Below are 21436 nucleotides of genomic sequence, written 5' to 3'. Positions count from 1 at the left end.
TAAGACAGACTGTAATTTCAAACTTACCTTGCTGAACTCCTTTCATTCTCTGTTTTTTTCCTGATTCTTTAGAAAATGATGACCCTAAAGCAATATTTGAGGTTTCTTTAGCTTGCCTGTATTGTTTCAGCTGATTGGCAAAATCTTCCTCTGTTTCCTGACCGTAGTTACCAAAGTTGTCATCACTGTAGTTACCGAAGTTGTCATCACTGTAGGTGCTGTACTCATCATATTCTTTACTTTTAAATTTTTTGTTATGTTGACCCTTCTTTGATGTTATGTAGCTTCCTGATATATGTCCACGCTAAGTGAAAATGGACAATCATTATCAGGATTTTTCAATTATATATAGCAATTGACAGTAGCACAGGACATCCTTTTCCCCCCAGCAAGTTTGGAGAAAGGAGAAAAGACAGTTATTAGTTCTGACTCTTGATCAGTACTTATCTATGATACTACTTAACACTAACTTCAAAAGCCTAAATGTTACCCTGAGATAATTAAATATTGTTATCTTTATGCTTTAGCCTTTGCTTTCTATGTTCTATGTCTCAGTATCTTACACACAGGAAAAAGTAAAAATACACACAATCATACATAAATTTTTCCTCCAAAAAATGAAAAGGCCTTTTTGAAAATAGGGAAAAGATAGTTAAATAGCTTGGGGTGGAGGAGTGTGGTAAAACATACTATTTCTCCTAACACTGGAAAATTCTCAAATTACATTATATTTAATAAAAAACTGTATGTGTGGAAAATTTTATAAAAAGAAAATGTCTATATCAAGGGTCTAATAGAAAAAACAGAGCTTTCCCTAATAGTGAAAAACATCTAGTGAATAAGTTGCTTATTAGAAACTGTTTATTACAACAAACATGATTAGTTTTATTGCTTCCTTACTAAAGCATGTGAAAACAAAGAATACACTTTAGTACTAGAAGTTTATTAAATGACAGTATTCAGGTCTGTCTCTATTCACTGAAATATTTTTATTAGTTCTATTGTATCCTCTGTCAATTTTTTTTAGTAAAGCGAGAAAAAATTGCACATAATTACAACTTAAGGATCTAGACAAATCCAAACCAAATAATTCATCTTTAGCTTAGTGCATTTTATTTTATTTATTTATTTCTTTTGAGACAGAGTCTCGCTCTTGTTGCCCAGGCTGGAGTGCAGTGGCATGATCTTGGCTCACTGCGACCTCTGCCTCTTGGGTTCAAACAATTCTCCTGCCTCAGCCTCCCAAGTAGCTGGGATTACAGGCGCGCACCAACATGCCCGGCTAATTTTTGTATATTTAGTAGAGATGGGGTTTCACTATGTTGGCCAGGCTGGTCTCGAACTCCTGACCTTGTGATCCGCCTGCCTCAGCCTCCCAAAGTGCTGGGATTACAGGTGTGACCCACTGTGCCTGGCCAGGTTAGTGCATTTTAAATGTGATATTAAAATACTACTCTGGCCGGGCACAGCGGTTCACGCCTGTAATCCCAGCACTTTGGGAGGCTGAGGCAGGTGGATCACTTGAAGTCAGGAGTTCGAGAAGAGCCTGGCCAACATGGTGAAACACCGTCTCTACCAAAAAATACAAAAATGAGCTGAATGTGGTAGCATACACCTGTAGTCTCAGCTACTCAGGAGTCTGAGGCAGGAGAACTGCTTGAATCCAGGAGGTGAAAGGAAGTTGCAGTGAGCCAAGATCGCACCACTGCACTCCAGCCTGGGTGACACAGTGAGAACCTGTCTCAAAATAAATAAATAAATAAATAAATAAATAAATAAATAAAATAAAATAAAATACTACTCTGGCAAAATACCAACATGAGACTACGTATTTAATGAAATGCAATGAAGTATTAGATCTTTCTAATTATAAAATAGAGAAAAAATGCATAACTAATCAAGAAAACCAATTCACTCATCAATTTTAAATTTTAAAAACACTATCATATTTTTGATTTGTTTTAAGTAGTACTTTTTAAAGTTTATGAACTCCATTCTTAGTCTAGCACTTCAGAAGTTCAAAAGGGAATTTATGATTGTAGCCAAAACAGTGTTTCTGACATTTTTTAAAGCCACTATGAAAACTAAAGCAAAACAAAAAATAATTGCTTAGATTAAGTTGAAGATTAAATTAACTAGTTAAATGATGGTTATATTTCCTTTTATTAAAACTGTGACTATATTAATACTTGATATATTTCAACACTTTATGATTGAAGATTACTTTGTTAATAGATGAGTATCAATTTTTCTCTGGAGATTAGATGCTTCTCATACAAGTTTTAAATTCTTAACATTAATTCAGTTCTCTGATTGGCATAGCTTTATCAAAATAATCTCTGTGTTCTTACCTTAAGTAGAATTATCCCTAAATTTTCATTTACCTCCTCCCTAGATTCCCAACTGTAAATATTCTTAATAGTCCCCTAAGAATGCACGTTCCATCCCAGGGCTCCTTTTGTGGTTAAAGACTTCTAGTGTGGACTGCTAAGGTCCTTCACATTCGCATTCACACCACGTTGTATGAGTTTTCCAGGAAGCATGAAATGAATGAAGGGTGACAGAGCAGCCCCGCTTTTCTAGAGTGGTTCATATATTCCTTATGGTTCATATGGTCATCATTGGGATGAACAAAACGCACTCATGGGCGAGGGTCTAGCAGGTATTTTTTCAAGTCCAACCGAGAGAAGATAAATGAAAAAGACAACAAATTCCACAAAAATAGATAGCTTTTGTAATCACTTTGCCAACTGATTATTTGGCTATACAAACTGCTAGAATGTCTGCAGGGATAGAGTTGGTTTCTGTAAAACAAAAACAAGCCCCACAGCAATCACTGGAAACAAATAAAGGAAAAGGAGGCCCTGAAAAAAGATGAGGAAAAAAGAAGCTAAATTAAGTTCTCTAATTTAACTGCTGGGGGGTTAACAGTATATTCAAATTTTGCCCTGTAATTGTAGAAGTTATATAGCAGATACTTGTTATCTAAGAAAAGGGATTTTTGGATGTAATTAGGATATAATCTTAATTCTCAGTGAGTCAACTCTAAAATATATATATGGAAGAAATGGTACTGAACTTTCTCTTCTTGTAAATAGCAGACTGGGCAATTCAGACTAGTTGTCTCTCTTAAAAAAAGTAGAAAAGATAGACAAAATATTTTTCTTAAATCCGTTTGTAGACATCAGACAGCTAACAAATTAGTGAAGGATTACTAGACCAATACCCATGGAGTAGATGAAAATCCTGAGAAGTGGGCAGCATTTGGAGCTGCATTTGCTCCGAGAGTATCACCCCATCAGGAAGAACCAGGTGAGAGATCCAACAGCACTTTAGACTGTCTCTGTTGTCTATGGAAACAAAAGGTGGAGTCCAGAGTCTGGAAAAGGTGGAAGCTTAGTAAACCCCATCCTCAATTATAAGGGGATCTCAAAATGCGAATCACAGACTGCAGCCCAGCCTTCAGGAATCTGAGTGGCTCAGAGGTCTCAAATCCTGAAATTGGAATAAAGTTTGTAAGGGTCACCAGAAATCTGGCAGAAGTAAGTAAAAATCCTTTCTGAAGGAAAAGAACATCATCCTAGGCCTAAAGTTATTTCTACAAAATGCTCAGCACAGAATAGAAAAAACTGAAAACAAAAATTGGCTTATGAAGAGATAGGATCACATGAAAGAGAACCAGCAAAAAATAACAGGCAATAGAAATACAGACTTCAGGCCGTGCACGGTGGCTCACGCCTATAATCCCAGCACTTTGGGAGGCAGAGGTGGGCAGATCACCTGAGGTCAGGAGTTTGAGACCAGCCTGGCCAACATGGTGAAACCCTGTCTCTACTAAAAATACAAAAATTAGCCAAGTGTGGTGGCGTATGCCTGTAGTCCCAGCTACTTGGGAGGCTGAGGCAAGAGAATCACTTGAACTCGGGAAGCAGAGGTTGCAGTGAGCCAAGATCACGCCACTGCACTCCAGCCTTGGCAACAAAGTGAGACTCCGTCTCAAAAAAAAAAAAAAAAGAAATACAGACTTCAGATATAGAAATTTGTATCTGAAGTCTGCTATTTTCAAGTAAAAGACAATATGAACATTTCAGCAGCAAACTTGAAACTATAAAAATGACTTAGAAGATTTTAAAGAACCAAATTTCTACGTATGAAAAATACTTAATAGATAGGTTTAAAGGCAAATTACACTCTAGCCTGGGTAGCAGAGCAAGGCTCTGTCTCAAATAAATAAATAAAGGCAAATTAGATCTCTCTGAAGGGAAGAGAAGACTAGAGAAGAAAGATTAGGTAAAGCATATGTGGTAAAACGTTAACTGGGGAATCTGGATGAAAGATATACAGGAGTTCTCTGCACCATTCTTGCAACTTTTTTGTAAGCCTGAAATTATGACAAAATGAAAAGTTATAAAAAATGAGGATAAAATAAACACATTGGCCTAATAAATAAAAACTGAGAGAATTTGATAGCAAACCTGTGCTATAAGATATGCTAAGCAAAGGCTAAACGATGCAGTGCGTCTGGCTAAAAGAAAATGGTATCATATTAAAACTCAGATCTACAAAAAAAGTGAAGAACACTGGAAATGAAATGTAGATAAATATAAAAGACCATCCGTTTTCTTAATTTCTTTAACTGATTTTTTTGAAGCAAAAATAAAACAGTATGTCTACAGGGATATATAATAGTCAGCGTAATATTAACAATAAATAACTGCATAATGTTTAAAAAATGTGAGATACCTAAAACAACTGCATTATTGTTTATACATACAAATCCATCTTGCCTCCCACAGTGGCCACATAGAAGGCTATGTACTTATTACAATAATGCTGCCACTATTTTAAATATTTGGAACTTCCTCTTTGGGGTTACTTTCAGTGATAACTTATGAATCCAGAACCTGTCTCATTACTTGATATTTTCAAATGTCTTCTCACTTGAAATAATAATGCCCATCCTTAGCATCTTTTCATTCATTGTAAGAGTCTCCAAATGACTTTTGAATATTTCTAAAGAATAAATCTAACTACATATCAGTGTTGCTGAATTAAAAGTTTTGTCACTTGTGGTAAAAATATTTTTAATGAACAGTTATAAAATGTTCTGAGAAATAGCAACAACCACTGACTCTAAAATCACTGGACATATTGACCTTATAAACATTCTGATATTTACCCAACTAGATAAAATTATTAACTAGTGTATAATTCTTTTCAAATTTTAAGAGAAGATATTTTAATAAAACCTCATTTATTTAATGGTCACTTAGCAATCTCAACTATAAAGGCGGCAACAGTGAATCAGACTATAGAAATAACTCTAACAAAAATAGTATTTTGGTTTCTAAACTCACAAGAGATTAGGAACACCAAATTAGGAGAAAAAATAGTGCTCTTGTAGACCAGAACAGTGAGACTGGCAAAAACGAGAACTCAGAAACTTTGGGGCTTTTCAGATAAGTGCACACTGATCCAAATACTTCCTAGTGACTCTGAGAAGCATCATAACTTGCCTAGCACAAAATACTGTATATTTGGAGATAGGGCCTTTAAAGAGGTGACTAAATTAGAATGAGGCTGTTAAAGTGGGCTCTAATCCAGTTTGACTGATGTCCCTATAATAAGAGGAATTTTGGACACAGAGAAACACCAGGGGTTCCTGCACACAGAGGGATGACCATGTTAGGACAAAGCAGTGAGAAGGAGGCCAGTGACAAACCAAGGAGAGAAGCCTAGCACAGATCCTTCCCTTACAGCCCTCAAAAGAAACCAACCCTGCTGGCACCTTGATCTGGGGCTTCTAGACTCCAGACTGTGAGAAAATACATTTCTATTGCTTAAGCCACCCAGTCTATAAAATTTTGTTATGTTAGCTCTAGCAAACTAATACATTATGTATTCTTTTGTTCAAAGATTTCAAATTTACAGCCTATGTCTGATAAAATACCAGAAAGAATAAAATTGAAAGTTTAATTTTTCTCTTAAAAGGGCAATACTCAAAACCACAATGAGATGCCACTTCATACTCATTTTCTGTTTCCAAAAGAAAACAAAGAAAAAAAACACACGTTGGCAAGGATGTAGAGAAATTGAAACCCTCAGGCATTATGTAAATAATGTAAATGTATTTTTATACTTACATTATTGTAATGTAAATAATATGTAAACATTGTAAATAATGTAAAATAGTGCAGCCACTGTGGAAAAGTTTCATGGTTCCTCAGACAGTTGGACATAGAATCACCATATGATCTAGCAATTCTGCTCCTAAATATATACCCCAATAAACTGAAAGAAGTCTTAAAAAGATTTTTGAATACCCATGTTCATAAGCAGCATGATTCACAATAGCAAAAGGTAGAAGCTTTTTTTCATGAACACCCACGTGTCCATCAACAGATGAATGGATAAACAAAATGTGATATATACACACAACGGAATATTATTCAGCCTTAAAAAGGAATGAAATTCTGACACATGCTACAGCTTGGGTGAACTTTTAAAATATTATGTTAAGTGAAATAAGCCAGATACAAAAGAACAAATACTGTATGATTCCACTTACATGAAATACCTAGAATAGGCAAATCCATAGAAACAGAAAATAGAATAGTGGTTTTCAGGGGCTGGGGGCAGGGGAAAACGAGATGTTATTGCTTAATAGGTGCTGAGTTTCTGTTTGGAATGATCAAGAATTTCTAGAAATGGATAAGTGGTGATGATTGAACAACACTGTCAATATACTTAATATCACTGAATTGTACAGTTAAAAGGGTTAAAATGGTACATTTTATGCTATCTATGTTTTATCACAAAACAAAAAAATGGCAATACCTGAGTAAATGGAATGTCATAATCCCTGTAGAAACCAGTTCTTTTTTTATGGGAACTTTCTGTATGTTCAACATCTGAATCAAGGCTGTAGTCCGAACTATCATCACTAGATGGGGAATTATGCTGAAGGGAGGGGAAAGACAAATATGTTACATTTGCAAAAGGAAGAAAATTTAACTAGTAATTAGATAAGCTTGTTTCAGCCAGAGGTACCAACCAGTAGATTATATTATTCCAGGAGACTCTGAAGTACTACTGAAAAATTCTTGCCCCAAAGGCCACCACCATTCCAACTTCGCTGAGGTTTTCTGAGAAGTCTATCTTCCTCTCTGCTCAGAGACTTTATGACATTTTCCTCATCATCCCTTTGACCTAAACAGAAATATTCTGCCCCTATGCTCTAAAATGATCTACATTTAAGCTAAACCTAAAGAAAGTAAAATTGGCTCCTAGATCACCAAGAAAGGTCATAGAACATGAGTAGAGTATGTATTAATTTGTTTTTACCTAAAATGGCTTTGGAGTTCTTATTCTATTGCATGAGTACCCTAAAACTAAAAGATACCAAAACATTACAAATTACAAAAATAAAATAAATCTGGCCCACAAAATTGAACAAAAGTGAAATGAAAAGCATAAGTAATTGATAATGATTATTGATGTCAAGTACAATGATAATTGATATCAAGAGTAAGCTTTTTCAAGTATTAATACAATTTCAAAAAAAATGGGACCAAATCTCCTCCATCTGGTCAGAATGATTACCTTCCCGAGTTGAGCATTCTCTTTAAAGAGTTCTTACATTTCCTAGCAATGAAAACACTGGCTCTGTGTATTATTATCATTGCAGTCCCAGCATCTAGATCTAGTACAAACTCAGTAAAAATTTGCTGAAATGATTGAACTCTGATGCTTTTACAAGGGAAGGCTCTGTTTTTCTCTAATCCATCCTGAAATGTTATTTTAGGAAAGACAAATTGCTTTCCTCCATCTTGTTCCTAAATGGTCTGGAGTTTGGTTTTTATGATTTTATTGCTTTTGTCTTTGTTGATTTGATAGGTGACATAAAGAAATATTTTTATAATTATGCTGTCAAATGCTTCAACTTTAAGTATCTAATCATTCTTGGCTAGGATTTAAAATAAATAGTGTCTATTTAAAAGCCATGTTTGCTCAGTCACCATCAGAAGTCAGCTCCAGCTCTAAGGAAAACCTTTCACCTGAAAAATACTAATAGAATTATACTCTGAAAAGATTTGGTCCTTGTGTTTCTTGGTAGGGTAGATTACAAACTCCAAAAAGTCTCAGACTTTTTGACTCTCTAGAATTAATTTTGTTAGGTAGTACTTTTCTAGAAAATTTTCCATTTCATCTTGCTTTTAATATTTATTTTCATAAAATTATATACATAAATTTCTTATGATTTGAATTTCCTTTTTGATAGTTATTTCACCCTCAGCATATATACATTTATTTTTCTTTTCCCTTTTATTATTGATAAGTTTGGTCAATGATATATATGTTGTTGATCTTTTTTAAAAAACTATTGGTTTTCATTCTAATTCATTCACTTCTGCTTATAATTTTATTAAGTACTTCCTTTTGGTTTTGTTTTGTTTTGTTATTATTCTATGCTGTTTGAGCATAGCTTATATTGTTTTCTTAATTTTTTGTCATTTTAAAATATTAGGTTAAATTTTTCATATGCTTTGTGGGCATGCTTTCTTTTCTGGAAGACTTACTCTCCATTATTCTCTTTTATCTTACAATAACAACTATGGAATGTGACCATAGTCTTATCTTGCTTCTCATGTGAAAAAAATGGATGGAATGGGCCAATAAAGCTTTCCTAGCTTCATAGCTCTAGGGTTATCTCTTCTGTTGTTAGCATGAAGTATTCAAAAATATGGCTATTTTCTGAGCTATGCCTCTTCTGCTTCCTTCCCCCATTTGTTATCTGACTATTTCTTTCCTTGGCCCTATATGCCTGTTTCTCAATGTAGACTTTACTTCCAGCAGTTACCTCCTCAGTGTGGGACTCTGTCATAAAAAGGAATTTGGTTGATTCATATTTGGGGTTCATCAGGTCCAGATCTTTTCAGCACCATCCAATTTCTGTGGTCACCTTACATTCATGCATGAACTGGTGATAGCACAGCCCCCTCCCAGTTTCTGTTGCTGTTCTCAGGCCCATGAGGTTTCCGTGCTGGGCACTGACCATTTGAGGTGAATATCTGTTGGCAACTTGGTTTCTGGAAGTCCCTTTATTTTCCCTCTGCTTCATTTGTACTGATGCTGTTGTTACACTGCTCTTGTTGCTGTCTATCGTTTGGCTCCAGTCATTTGTACTTTTTAGGTTTATTAGAGATAACTTGTTTCTTCCTTTTTTTGTAGATGTTGTCAATGGGTTTTGGTTGTGTTATCCTAATTGATGTGATTTTAATGGAGGAAATTCAGGGAGTTTCAAAACCTGCTCCTACATTGCTGCCAACTTGTCCATGATTTCTCAGTCAGCATAGGTTCCCCTTCTTCCCTACCCCAAATCCACATAATTCTCTATCCAGTACCTTGTTGTTTTTTTCATAGCTTTCCCATTGCAATGTAAACTCTTTAAGAGCCAACTATTTCACTCACTACTATAACCCTCAGCATACAGCATAAAGGTTTCCATAGTAAGCACTCGATCATATACCTAAATGAATAATAAATAGATGGACAATGCCAATGCTGCTAATCTGTATCTGTAGAGAATGAAACTCTCTTTCCTTAATCTTCCAATATCCATGTATACAAGCTTCCATCAATTAAAATATTATTTATTTCAATCTGCGTTAAAATTTAACTTGAAGCCCGGTGTGGTGGCTCACACCTGTAAACCTAGCAATTTGGGAGGCCACGGTTGGCACATCACTTGAGCCCAGCAGTTTGAGCCCAGCCTGGGCAACATGGCAAAACCCTGTCTCTACTAAAAATAAAACATTAGCCAAGTGTGGTGGTGTGCACCTGTAGTTCCAGCTACTCAGGAGGCTGAGTGGGGGATCACCTAAGCCTGGGAGATCAAGGCTGCAGTGAGCCAAAATTGTGCCACTGCACTCAAGCCTGGACAATAGACCCTATCTCAAAAAAAAAAAAGATTTAACTTAATTACTTTTTAAATCTTTAAGATAATTCATATAATCTTTGTTTAGAAAGTTTAATCACATAAATGAAAATATCTAATCCACATGTTTTATAATAAAATAATGACTTCTACTTTCTAATTTTCAGTATTTTATATTTCATAAACATTTATCAAAAGAATAAAAAGTAGATTCTAACTAACCTTATGTTTCTCACGTTTTCTCCTTTTGGATTTTTTCTTCTCTCTCTCTTTCTTATGTTTTTTTCTTGATTTTCTGTAGGCTTTCTCACTTTTCTGCTTTTCATTCTCTTTTGCTTCTTTTTCTTGTATTTCTTCAAATCCTGCATCGTCTATTTCACCATCTTCTAATTCGCCATCTTCTCTATAGAAGGAAAATTTTAATTTTCAAATATCATTCTAAAACAAATCTTACAGAAAGATTTTCAAAAGAAAAAAAGCATATGCCAAGGATTTATGTTATATTCATTTAGACAAGCACTTGAAAAATTTTTCTATAAAGGCCCAGATAGTAAATATTTTACATTTGCAGGCCATATATGGTTTCTGTTGCGAATTCGTCTTCATTTAACATTCCTTTAAGAATGTAAGAACCATTATCAGCAGCCGAAGTTTGCAAACCTCTTAGATTAAAATCACTGATTCTCACAAAATGAATGCATGAATAAATACAGTGCTATCCCAAAGTACTCCAATAGTTACCATCTACTAAATTTTCTTCAAAAAAAGGAATTAAACTAAAATGCTCTAAGAAACACTCGACTTACAGGAAGGTATTTTTAACTTAGTGGCTCATAGACAGCTATAGTTTTAAAATAAAAGGAATCTAAGAACCAAGAATGGGCTGCCCTTGGCGAAAGAGGATCTAGGATCCAGTTGGTGCAGCTTATGGCTTGTCCCTATGCATACAGTTCTTAAATTTTTTTTTTTTTTTTTGAGATGGAGTCTCACTCTGACGCCCAGGCTGGAGTGCAGTGGCACCATCTCGGCTCACTGCAAGCTCCGCCTCCCGGGTTCACGCCATTCTACTGCCTCAGCCTCCCAAGTAGCTGGGACTACAGGCGCCTGCCACCACGCCCGGCTAATTTTTTGTATTTTTAGTAGAGACGGGGTTTCACCGTGTTAGCCAGGATGGTCTCAATCTCCTGACCTCGTGATCTGCCTGCCTCGGCCTCCCAAAGTGCTGGGATTACAGGTGTGAGCCACCCACCACACCCGGCCAAATTATTCTTTTTTTATTTTTATTTCTAAAAAATAATTCTTTCAATAGATAATACAGGCATGTGGCTTAAAGGGAAACCTCAAAAGGCACATAAGGATCTGTCTCATTTTAAGTTAAAAAATACTGTATCAGTATCAAATAATTAAACATTTCTTCATTTGAATCATAACTTTTTTCTTTATTGTATTGTTCCCTTTCCTGTGCTTACATATTTTCAGAAATTTTAGTTGGTGTGCATACGACAATTTGTATTTTGTACTTAAATATTTTACATTTCATGGCTGTATATTCATTTGATCAAGTTCTTTTATATCATAAATAATTCACATAGAGCTGGGCATTTGATTGCTTGCCGATAACTCGGCAATAAGCATTTTTAAGCATGAAGTAATTCTTTGGTTGAATTTTATTCTTGATATGGGGCTTACTTAAGAGTGAGATTTCTGGTCTACAGAAATTACCATGCTCATGAATTTTGACGTGTATCGCCATGATGCTTTGCACAAGGGCTGCACCAATTTAGATCATCTTTAGCAGTGAATCAGCAGATTAGTTTTACTACAACTTTACTAATGTTGGTGGTGGAATTTCAGTTGGTTTTTTTTGCCAGCTTAATAGGTCTAAAATTTTACTTTCTTTGATGACTAGTGAAGTTGAATTTTCCCTGCCTGTTATATTGCTTGCATACTTTGCCTGTTTGTGTCACCGTCCTTCTTTTGGATTGGGGTCATACTATTTTTTTAAACTTATCTGTGTAAAACATTTTATTCAAAACTAGTACTGTTGGTCATATTTAATACAAATGTTTTTCATAATCTGAAAAAAATAAATTTTTTAAAAAGCAATATATCTATCTATATGTATATATATATTTTTTGAGACAGGGTCTCACTCTGTCACCCAGACTGCAGTGCAGTGGCACGATCTCAGCTCACTGCAACCTCCACCTCCCAGGTTCAAGCGATTCTCGTGCCTCAGCCTCCGAGTAGCTGGGATTACAGGCACACGCCATCACATCCGACTAATTTTTGTATTTTTACGGAGATGGGGGTTTCACCACGTTGGCCAGACTGGTCTCAAACTCCTGACCTCAAGTGATCTGCCTGCCTTGGCCTCCCAAAATACCGGGATTACAGGTGCAAGCCACCGTGCCCAGCCAGTCAATATTAATTCTTACCAACAAACACTAAGTAAACAAACAAACAAAAAACCAAATTTTCATACACAGATAGTAACAAAACTCAAGCCACAAAACAATTCCTCAACTTGAATCTGTAAAAAAGATTCATAGTAGAACTATAAATCTAATTTCTTTCCAAATACTAGTATCTTTGCTATTATGGAGGCTGAATCCTAGAAACAAACTGACTTTTATATTGATTATGACATTTTATAGATAGAAACCAAAATATTCATTAATAGTATTTTAAAATGCAAATAAACCAACCGATACACATGGAAAGATGAATACATAAAACAATTTTAACATTTAATCATACTTCCAAAACACTATAGTTTGAAAAAGTGCAAACTACTACAAATAGTACATGCAGAAAGGTAACTGTCTATGTATAAATGGCAGCAAATGAAAAACAACTAAACTATGGTGTGGGCATTTTAAAGGTAATTTAGAATTACCAGGTATGTGTAATTTCTTAAATACAAAACTGATCATGTCACTCTCCTGCCATAAATCTTCAATGATATGATATGATATATCTCAAATCTGCTTCAAAATAATCCACTACGGATAGTGGACGTGGTCTTAATAAGATTGGCCATGAGTTGGTAACTGCTGAAACTGGGATGTGTATACGAGGATTCATTCTATTCTTTTTGAGGTGTTCTATAATAAAAAGATAATCTTCAATGGTTCCCTCTGCTCACCCAGCTACTTTCAATTTCTCAAGTCTACAAGCCTTAAAAAGTGCCTAAAATCTCTCAATGCCCAGCTCATGTCACCAGCCTCACCACACCTCTTTCACCTGGCTAATTCCAATTCAGTATTTCGGATGCAGTTTAGATGTCATTTCCTACAAGATGTCTCCCATTACTACCCAGATTTAGGTGAGATGCTTCATTCTAAGTACTCCTCTGCTAGTTCTCATTTCTCTTATCATTGCACTCTGTACATTATGTCAAATGACTTGTTTGTTCATTGGTGAAAGCAGGGTGTATGACTGTCTTTTACAGAGGTATCTCTAGCACCTAGCATGGCACCTTGCTATTTACTGAATCCCTGAATGTATAATACCCATAACTCTTGCATCATAGAAGAGGCATATGATACGACCCTAAAGTGGCTGTAAAGTCACTGGAATTTTCCCCAGCTTCTACTATAAAATCAGAGAGGTAATATTCACTTAGACTTGAAAATTGCTTATGAGGCAGTCTTGGCATTCTGGCTATTTCAATTAAAATGTTTTGAACTTTTATAAACTACAAAACCTTACAATCCGAGAAAATGAGTGCACATATTCACCAAAAGACAAGTATAAGAATGTTTTTGACAGCTGTAGTCATAATAGTAAAAAATTATAAATAACAAATCTCTATCAACAGGCAAATAGATATATAAATTATGCTTTATTTATATCATAGAATACTACAAAGAAAAAATTAACAACTGCTACAAAAAAACAATATAGAGGAATCTTATAGACATAATGAGGAGTGAAAGAAGCCAGACACAAGACAGTACTGTATGATTTCATGTATATGCACTTTGAAAACAGACAAACCAATATATAACAGAAGTCAGAATAGTGATTACCTCTTGCACGAGTGCAAGTGACAAAAAAAGGGGTATTAAGGAAACTTCTGAGGTACTGAAATATTCTGTATATTAATCTGTGTGATTACTATATATACATTATACACATTTGTAAAAACCCATCAAGTTATACATTTAAGTATTGTGTACTTTGCTATCTACATTTATACCACAATAAAATTTAAAACACAAATGACAAAAAAAATCTATAAGTGTTTATCCTTTCTTTTACTGCGCCTCTCCTTCAACGTGAGCTCCTTAAAGCATAAAAAAAATTACATCTGGAAATCACTGCTTCATATTTAGCATTTTAACTAGAGCTATTTAAAAACAAAGTAAACATGCTAAAAATGCCCATAAACTCATGTCCTACTTTACATACATTATTTAAGTGTGAAATGTGGGTCATTTATATTTGTTACGAGATATAAAACACTGCAAGCTTTTAAAATTTTTTTTAGTTTCCCTTAGCCTACTTATCATTTCAGCATTCATATAATAGCAGATTTAAACTTGTATATTTTTGTATGGCTACAAAAAATGCGAGAGAAAGAGGAAATAGAGAAAAATAATTCACACTATGAACTGCTTCCAAACCCTTTGAAATGTCAGCTTTGGACGCATGTGGAAAGCATGTGTGGTATAATGGAAAGAGAAGGAGACTCCATGGGAGGAAAGCTGGATTCTAATTCCAGCTCTATCACCAAAATAAAATAAAGCTTTCTTAATTGAACACCTAGTAATGTATCAGATACTAACCTAGTGATCTTGGGAAATACCTAGAAGAGGTAATAGAAATAATTAAGAGTTCTTATCATTCTCTAGATTTTGAACTAGCTTAATACTATTATATAAGAGCTGTTTTGTTTACTAAACACAAGACTTTAAAAAATGTAATACATCAAATAGATAAGTTCCTCAGTCAATTAATTATATATGTGACGTTTTATTAATATAAACACAATAGACTGATTATGTCCTTTTTAAAAAAGGAGCATATTCATGTTCTTGTACCAATGACTGGTAAATAACTGTTCAGTTAATAAACAATAATTTTAAAAGATTTTATATCTTAGGCAAATCTATACAGATACAAAGTAGATTAGGAGTTGCCAGGTAGATTAGAGGGAAAAATAGGGAGTGAATGCTAGTGGGTAAAGGGTTACTTTGTGGAGTGGTGAAAATGTTCTAAAATTAAATAGTGGTAATGACTGTACTACTCTGAATATACTAAAAACCAGTGATCTGTACACTTTAAAAGTGAAATGTATCTCAATAAAGCTGTTATTTTAAAAAATAGTTAAAAATATTTTTTCTCTAGATCTAAGTATCTAGATTGAGACAACTGGGGAAAATCATAATACCCTATGGTATAAAAATTCAAGACTCTGAAAATGGTCAGTACCCTCGTCACCCATGATGTTCTTATTCTAAGGTAATTATTCATTAAATCTTTACAAACTGATATGCCTTAATAGAGGATTCTACTTTTTTCCACTCTGATATTGATGGCTATTAAAATAAATTAACCTCAACTATTCAGTCTTACCTCCACAGTAGTTTCTGCTTTTTTTTTATGCTTGCCTAAAGGCTCCTGTTACAAGCTACAGATCAGAAACTGAGTCTTCTGGAAGAAACACAAAAGCCTCTATAAAAGACTATACAAGTACTCCTGATAGATGATAGTACAATGACATTACTCATGAATGCAAACTTCTTGGGATAATATGATCACCACAAAAAAAGACAATCTTCAGAATGTGCCAAGTGACTGTGTCAGAATCTCTAGGATTTCTTTGCAGTCCAGGAGCAAACAACTTAATAGAAGCAGAATGCTTATCCTAAGACCAACAGAACAAAATTTCCTAGATGTTTGAAATGATTACTTATAACATTTTTCTTTTCATGCTTTTGTACTAATTCACACGGTCGTTTCTTCCTTACTATAGATGATAAGGTAGGATAACTGCTCTGTACTCGTGCCCTGGAAAACTCGCATGCCTCCACATAGGCTACTTACGTAAGCCCAACGATAGGCTGACCTAAGCTTTGGCAGAATGCTCTGTGTTCCTTCAGAATATGGAAAGATAGGCAGTATTGTGAGGTGCTGCTACAAGGCTATTTCTTACCAACCTCCATATTTTGTGGGAGCCTGCTGGGAGGCAGTTTCTCATCCACCTTCCCTGGTTCCATGAGGTCTGAGATTCACCACCTTGCCCACTCCTTAGGATGTAGCTGTAGGCTAAAAAACTACTTAGCTACAGGATGGAAACTGTTCCTCAGCCAGAGTGCCCACCACTCATGTTACCTATCATGTGGTCCCGTTTAGTTTCAGTGTTACCCTGCGGATGAGGGACATGAGGAGCTGACACTATGCTGATCATGCATTTCTCTAAGTAATTAATAAACTGTCTGAATATGTCAGCTTGCTTGATAGATAACTTGATTTGAGTCTAGGCTTTGCCCATGCCTATTCTGATCTTTTCCCTCAACCTAAATAGCACATGTATAGTTCTCTTGATTAATCCTTAAACTAACTCCCTACCTTACCCCCACCAAACTAGTATTTCTCCTCAAGGAAAATACTGTCTGCTCACACTGGGGCCATGGAAGATCCACCAGACATGAGTTTTCGTGATTTTCTGTTTATCTCAAAACTTGGCCTTCGGCATTTACATCTTGGATGGCTTTTTGTATCTCCATTTTCTCTTTACAGTTTCATAAACAGTTCCTCTTGAAAAATTATCAGTGGTAAAATCTGATGAGTATCAATAGTCTTCAAAGTGCTTTTTATCTTCATCCTTTATCCAATACATTCTTACACCCTCTGAAATTGTTTAGTTTGCAGAAACTTAGCTTACCCCTTTTTGACTATTTACAGCCATGGCAATTTTTACTTGGTTTGTTTTACTGCTCAAGCCAGTCTTAGAATTTCTCAAAGCCTCAACCCAAATATAAAATCCTTCAGGAATGAGACTTAGTACAAATATATGGGCAATATTATAAATTTTAATTAGCCTAATGGCCTCCATAGTCCTATGACAACCTTTGGAATTTTTGCTGAACTCTATGCAAGGTATCTCTACCCAAGAGATAACTGAGAATTCCTTTCTTACTTACTTTTGTTACAAGTAATTCCTCTTTTGTTCTTAAAACTACACATGGCTCTCCTAATTTTTACCTCCTGAATCAACAACATATTTACTTACATTTGCCTCATTAGAACCTAACTTGCATATATGCATAATAACTCCAGGTATACTGGAGTTATTATATAGCTCCAATGTAATAATTAGATGATTTAAGAGACTTCTCACGTCTTCCAGGAGATCATGCTTACCTGGGAGTGTCTGAGAGGACACTGATCTCCCTGGATGGGGGTTACAAAACTTGAAAAAGCTACCAAAACTTGGTTAATAATGCTGACTGAAAAGATAAAGCCATAAAACCTAGAAGTATAACCAACTAATCTAAAATAATTAATCCAAGTGGTTACAGGTAACAGCATAGCTTTAGATTGCTTAATGGTACACCAAGAAAAAAATATGACATATTGCTAACATTCCCTGATGAATGTGGAGGGAAGGTTGACTAACCTATAGTCAAACTGAAAGAAAAGACAATTTGGCTAATCAAAAGTGGACTCAGAAGGACCCTTGAGATCTGACCTCCTGGTCAAAATAAGGAAATCTTTGGTCATCAATCTAAAGTGACTTCCAGTGTCTCCTTATCATCGTTCTAGTTATTCTTGTCTCACAGTCTTCTAATGCCTGGTCTCCAGAGCTGTATATGCCACTGCATAGCTGTTATTTCACTGATGGCACAAAAAATTATTTTGCAATGGAACGAAAAATAAAGGGATTCTGATATTCAGTCAGGCCAAATGCCAAGCCCTTCAGTTAGAATTCCTACAAAGGTAATAAGCCATATAGCAGTGAATACGTAATCATCTGCTCTACTTCTACAGGAATAAGGGATGGTGAAAATAGGGGAGGGGATTGTTAAAACTGTGCCAGGTTCCCAGTCTGTGCACTCAAAAGTGTTGACCCTATGTCCCTGAGCTTAACATTCATATCCCATCTCAGACCTCTTTGTTAAGCAATGTCTGTGCTTTTGTGACAAAAGCAGAAAAAATAAAATAAAATAAAATGGAGAATTTCGAGTCCCCAAATGAACCAATTAGAACTTAATGCCTAGAACTGGCCAAACACAGTGGCTCACGCCTGTAATCGCAGCACTTCGGAGGCCAAGGCAGGCAGATCGCTTCAGGTCAGGAGTTCGAGACCAGCCTGGTCAACATGGTGAACCCCTATCTCTACTAAAAATACAAAAATTAGCCAGGCGTGGTGGCAGGTGCCTGTAGTCCCAACTACTTGGGAGGTGAGGCAGGAGAATCTCTTGAACCTGGGAGGCGGAGGTTGCAGTGAGCTAAGATCGAGCCACTGCAGTCTGGCCTGGGCGACAGAATGAGACTCTGTCTCAAAAAAAGGAACTTAGTGCCTAGCATCCTTCCCAACATGTAATAAGCTTTATTTTCTTCTTCATCTATCTCTCCCACTTTCTGTGCGGAGAGAAACACTGAACTCATTACTTAACCAGCAAGCAGACTGATTTACATTTATTTATTTAAGCTCTGGTTGTGTTTGTATTATTCCTTAAAGGTATTTATAAAATATTTTATTGAGGCCTGGCGCGGTGGCTCATGCCTGTAATCACAGCACTTTGGGAGGCTGAGGCGGACGGATTACCTGAGGTCAGGAGTTCGAGACCAGCCTGGCCAACATGGCGAAACCCCGTCTCTACTAAAACTACAAAAATTGGCCAGGAATAGTGGGACATGCCTATAATCCCAGCTACTCAGGAGGCTGAGGCAGGAGAATTGCTTGAGCCCAGGAGACAGACATTGCAGTGAACTGAGATCGTGCCACTGCACTCCAGCCTGGCCGACAGAGTGAGACTCTGTTCCAAAAAAAAAAAGTATTTTATTGAACAAACTATAAAATATGTAAATAATCACATAATCACAGTTAAAATTCTAGAGATTAAGATGAAACTAAAACTGAGATTAGCTTACACAGGGTATGCCAGAAACCCCTAACTAATTTTTAGATGTCAGTCACAAATCTGACTTTGAGCTTCAGGAAACAAAAGTTAGGCCTAAGACAACAGTGCTTCCGAGACAAAAACAGACCAGTTGCTCAAGAAAAGCACACTTTTTTTTCTGGGAGTAAGATCAGAGAGAAATTTCTCCTCTGGGTCCTGATGATATTACCTGATATAATGGATAGTACTTGATATGGCAGACACTGTCCTCAAGAGTGTCCATACAATCAATGCAACATTTTATTGCTTACAGCATATGCCAATTTGAGCCAAGGGCACACTACCAAAGTTCAATTAAGAAAAAACAATTATGTAAAGGAACAAAGTACTACTGTGCAAGTACACAATTGTCTGACATTCTGACTTAATCCAGAGATGAAATCCAAAATATCTGCAGCCATAATTCTTAAAAACTATATGTATGTAAGAATTTTATGTCCTTCCAGCTAAAAAAAAAAAAAAGGCCATTCATTCATTTAACACGTATTTATTCACCATGTTCTCAGTGGGGATACAATGGCAAACAAAAACAAGAAAAAGACATGGTTTCTTCTCTCATGAAGTTTTTAATCTTGGGACAGCACAGACACCAATCAAAGAATCACACAAATAAACATAAAATAACCACACAAGTATACGAAGTAGGTAAATGGTGCTATGAGCACACACAACAGGGGAAAGTCATCCGTCAGGGAAGTGTGGAAGGCTTTCCCTGAGGAAGTCGTAAATAAACTGAGATGAGGAGTCTGCCTGAGAGATAGGGGATGGGGAAGGGACCTCTGCAAACAAAGGAATAGGATGAGCAAAACTTCTGTGCAGAACAGAGTATGACACACTATAGGAACTGAGACAAGGCCAGTGTCACTGGGTCATAAATGTGAATTTCTTCAATTCCTCAGGAGTGATTTGAATGTTTGTCAGGAAATGGTGGTCACCAGGGCAGACCAGTTGGGTGACAGTATGGGATTTGGAGTTATAAGACACTATAGGTTTGTTTTTTTTTTAATTGAATAGCATTTTTTTAAGGGCTCAAAGAACATTAGTCCAAACTTTTTATTGTACAGGTTTTTCAAAAGCTGGGCACGGTGGTTCATGCCTATAATCCCAGCACTTTGGAAGGCCAAGGAGGGTGAACTGGTCAAGCCCAGGAGTGTGAGACCAGCCTGGGCAACACGGTAAAACCCCGTCTCTATAAAAAAATACAAAAATGAACCAGGTGTTAGGTGCGTGGCTGTGGCTCCAGCCACTCTGGAGGCTGGGGTGGTAGAATCACCTGAGCCTGGGAGGTCGAGGCTAGAGTAAGCTGTCATTGGGCCATTGTATTTCAGCCTGGGTGACAGAGACCCTGTCTCAAAAACAAAACAAAACAAAACAAACAAAAAACGGTAAAAATATTTAAATCATATGAAGCCAGAAAATCATATAAAGCTAGAAAATGGGTCACCCTATTTCATTTCAGGGTCCCAGATAAGTTGATGAAGAGTGGTTCAGGGCCGGCGCGGTGGCTCACGCCTGTAATCCCAGCACTTTGGGAGGCCGAGGCAGGCGGATCACAAGGTCAGGAGATCGAGACCAGCCTGGCTAACACGGTGAAACCCCGTCTCTACTAAAAAATACAATAAATCAGCTGGGCGTGGTTGCGGGCGCCTGTAATCCCAGCTACTTGGGAAGCTGAGGCAGGAGAATGGCATGAAACCAGGAGGCGGAGCTTGTAGTGAGCCAAGATCGCGCCACTGCACTCCAGCCTGGGCGACAAGAACAAGAGACTCCATCTCAAAAAAAAAAAAAAAAAGAAAAAGAAAAAAAAAGTGTTCAGGGCCTGGCACGGGTGGCTCATGCCTGTAACCCTAGCACTTTGGGAGGCTGAGGTGGGCAGATCACTTGAGTTCGAGACCAGCCTGGCCAACATGGTGAAACCCCGTCTCTACTAAAACTACAAAAATTAGCCAGAAATCGCTTGAATCTGGGAGGTAGAGGTTGCAGTGAGCCGATATTGTGCCACTGCACTCCAGCCTGGGCAACAGGGCGGGATTCTGTCTCAAAAAAAAAAAAGAAAAAAAAGAAAAAAAAGAGTGGTTCAGTTCAGCTCATCAAAGTCAGTAGGGTGGTGGTGGCGGGGGGGTGGGCAGTGAGAAGAGGAACGCTCAAAGAATGAAAACTATTTTATTAATAAGGTTTGCGGTTCAAAAAAGGGCTGAGCACCAATATCCAGAAGAGAGAGTGGAATATAGTGAGGTAGGTGATTGCCCTAACAGCAATTTCTACCTAAAGTTAGAGAGGATGCAAACCAAAACAAAAACCAAATGAAATCTCTTATTTCATGAAGACCCACGGTTCTGGCAAAGTGAGGTCACCTGAACCT

The 21436-nt window shown here is 36.5% G+C and overlaps 1 protein-coding gene across 2 annotated transcripts in view; it reads right to left on the bottom strand.

The window, feature by feature from the left end:
• ZC3H6 (zinc finger CCCH-type containing 6) overlaps positions 1–21436 on the bottom strand; it is a 64463-nt gene that overhangs the window by 29871 nt on the left and 13156 nt on the right. For both annotated transcript variants that reach the window (NM_198581.3, XM_006712519.4), the window contains exons 2-4: positions 10160–10340; positions 6838–6960; positions 28–304 (exon numbers count right to left, since the gene is read on the bottom strand). In NM_198581.3, the coding sequence (NP_940983.2) occupies positions 28–304; positions 6838–6960; positions 10160–10340 (581 nt within the window). The remainder of the gene's footprint in view (positions 1–27; positions 305–6837; positions 6961–10159; positions 10341–21436) is intronic.

Source organism: Homo sapiens, chromosome 2 (genome assembly GCF_000001405.40).
Source record: "Homo sapiens chromosome 2, GRCh38.p14 Primary Assembly".
Lineage (NCBI taxonomy): Eukaryota > Metazoa > Chordata > Mammalia > Primates > Hominidae > Homo > Homo sapiens.
The sequence above is the reverse complement of the archived record's forward strand: the minus strand, read 5'-3'. Positions and strand labels throughout refer to the sequence as shown.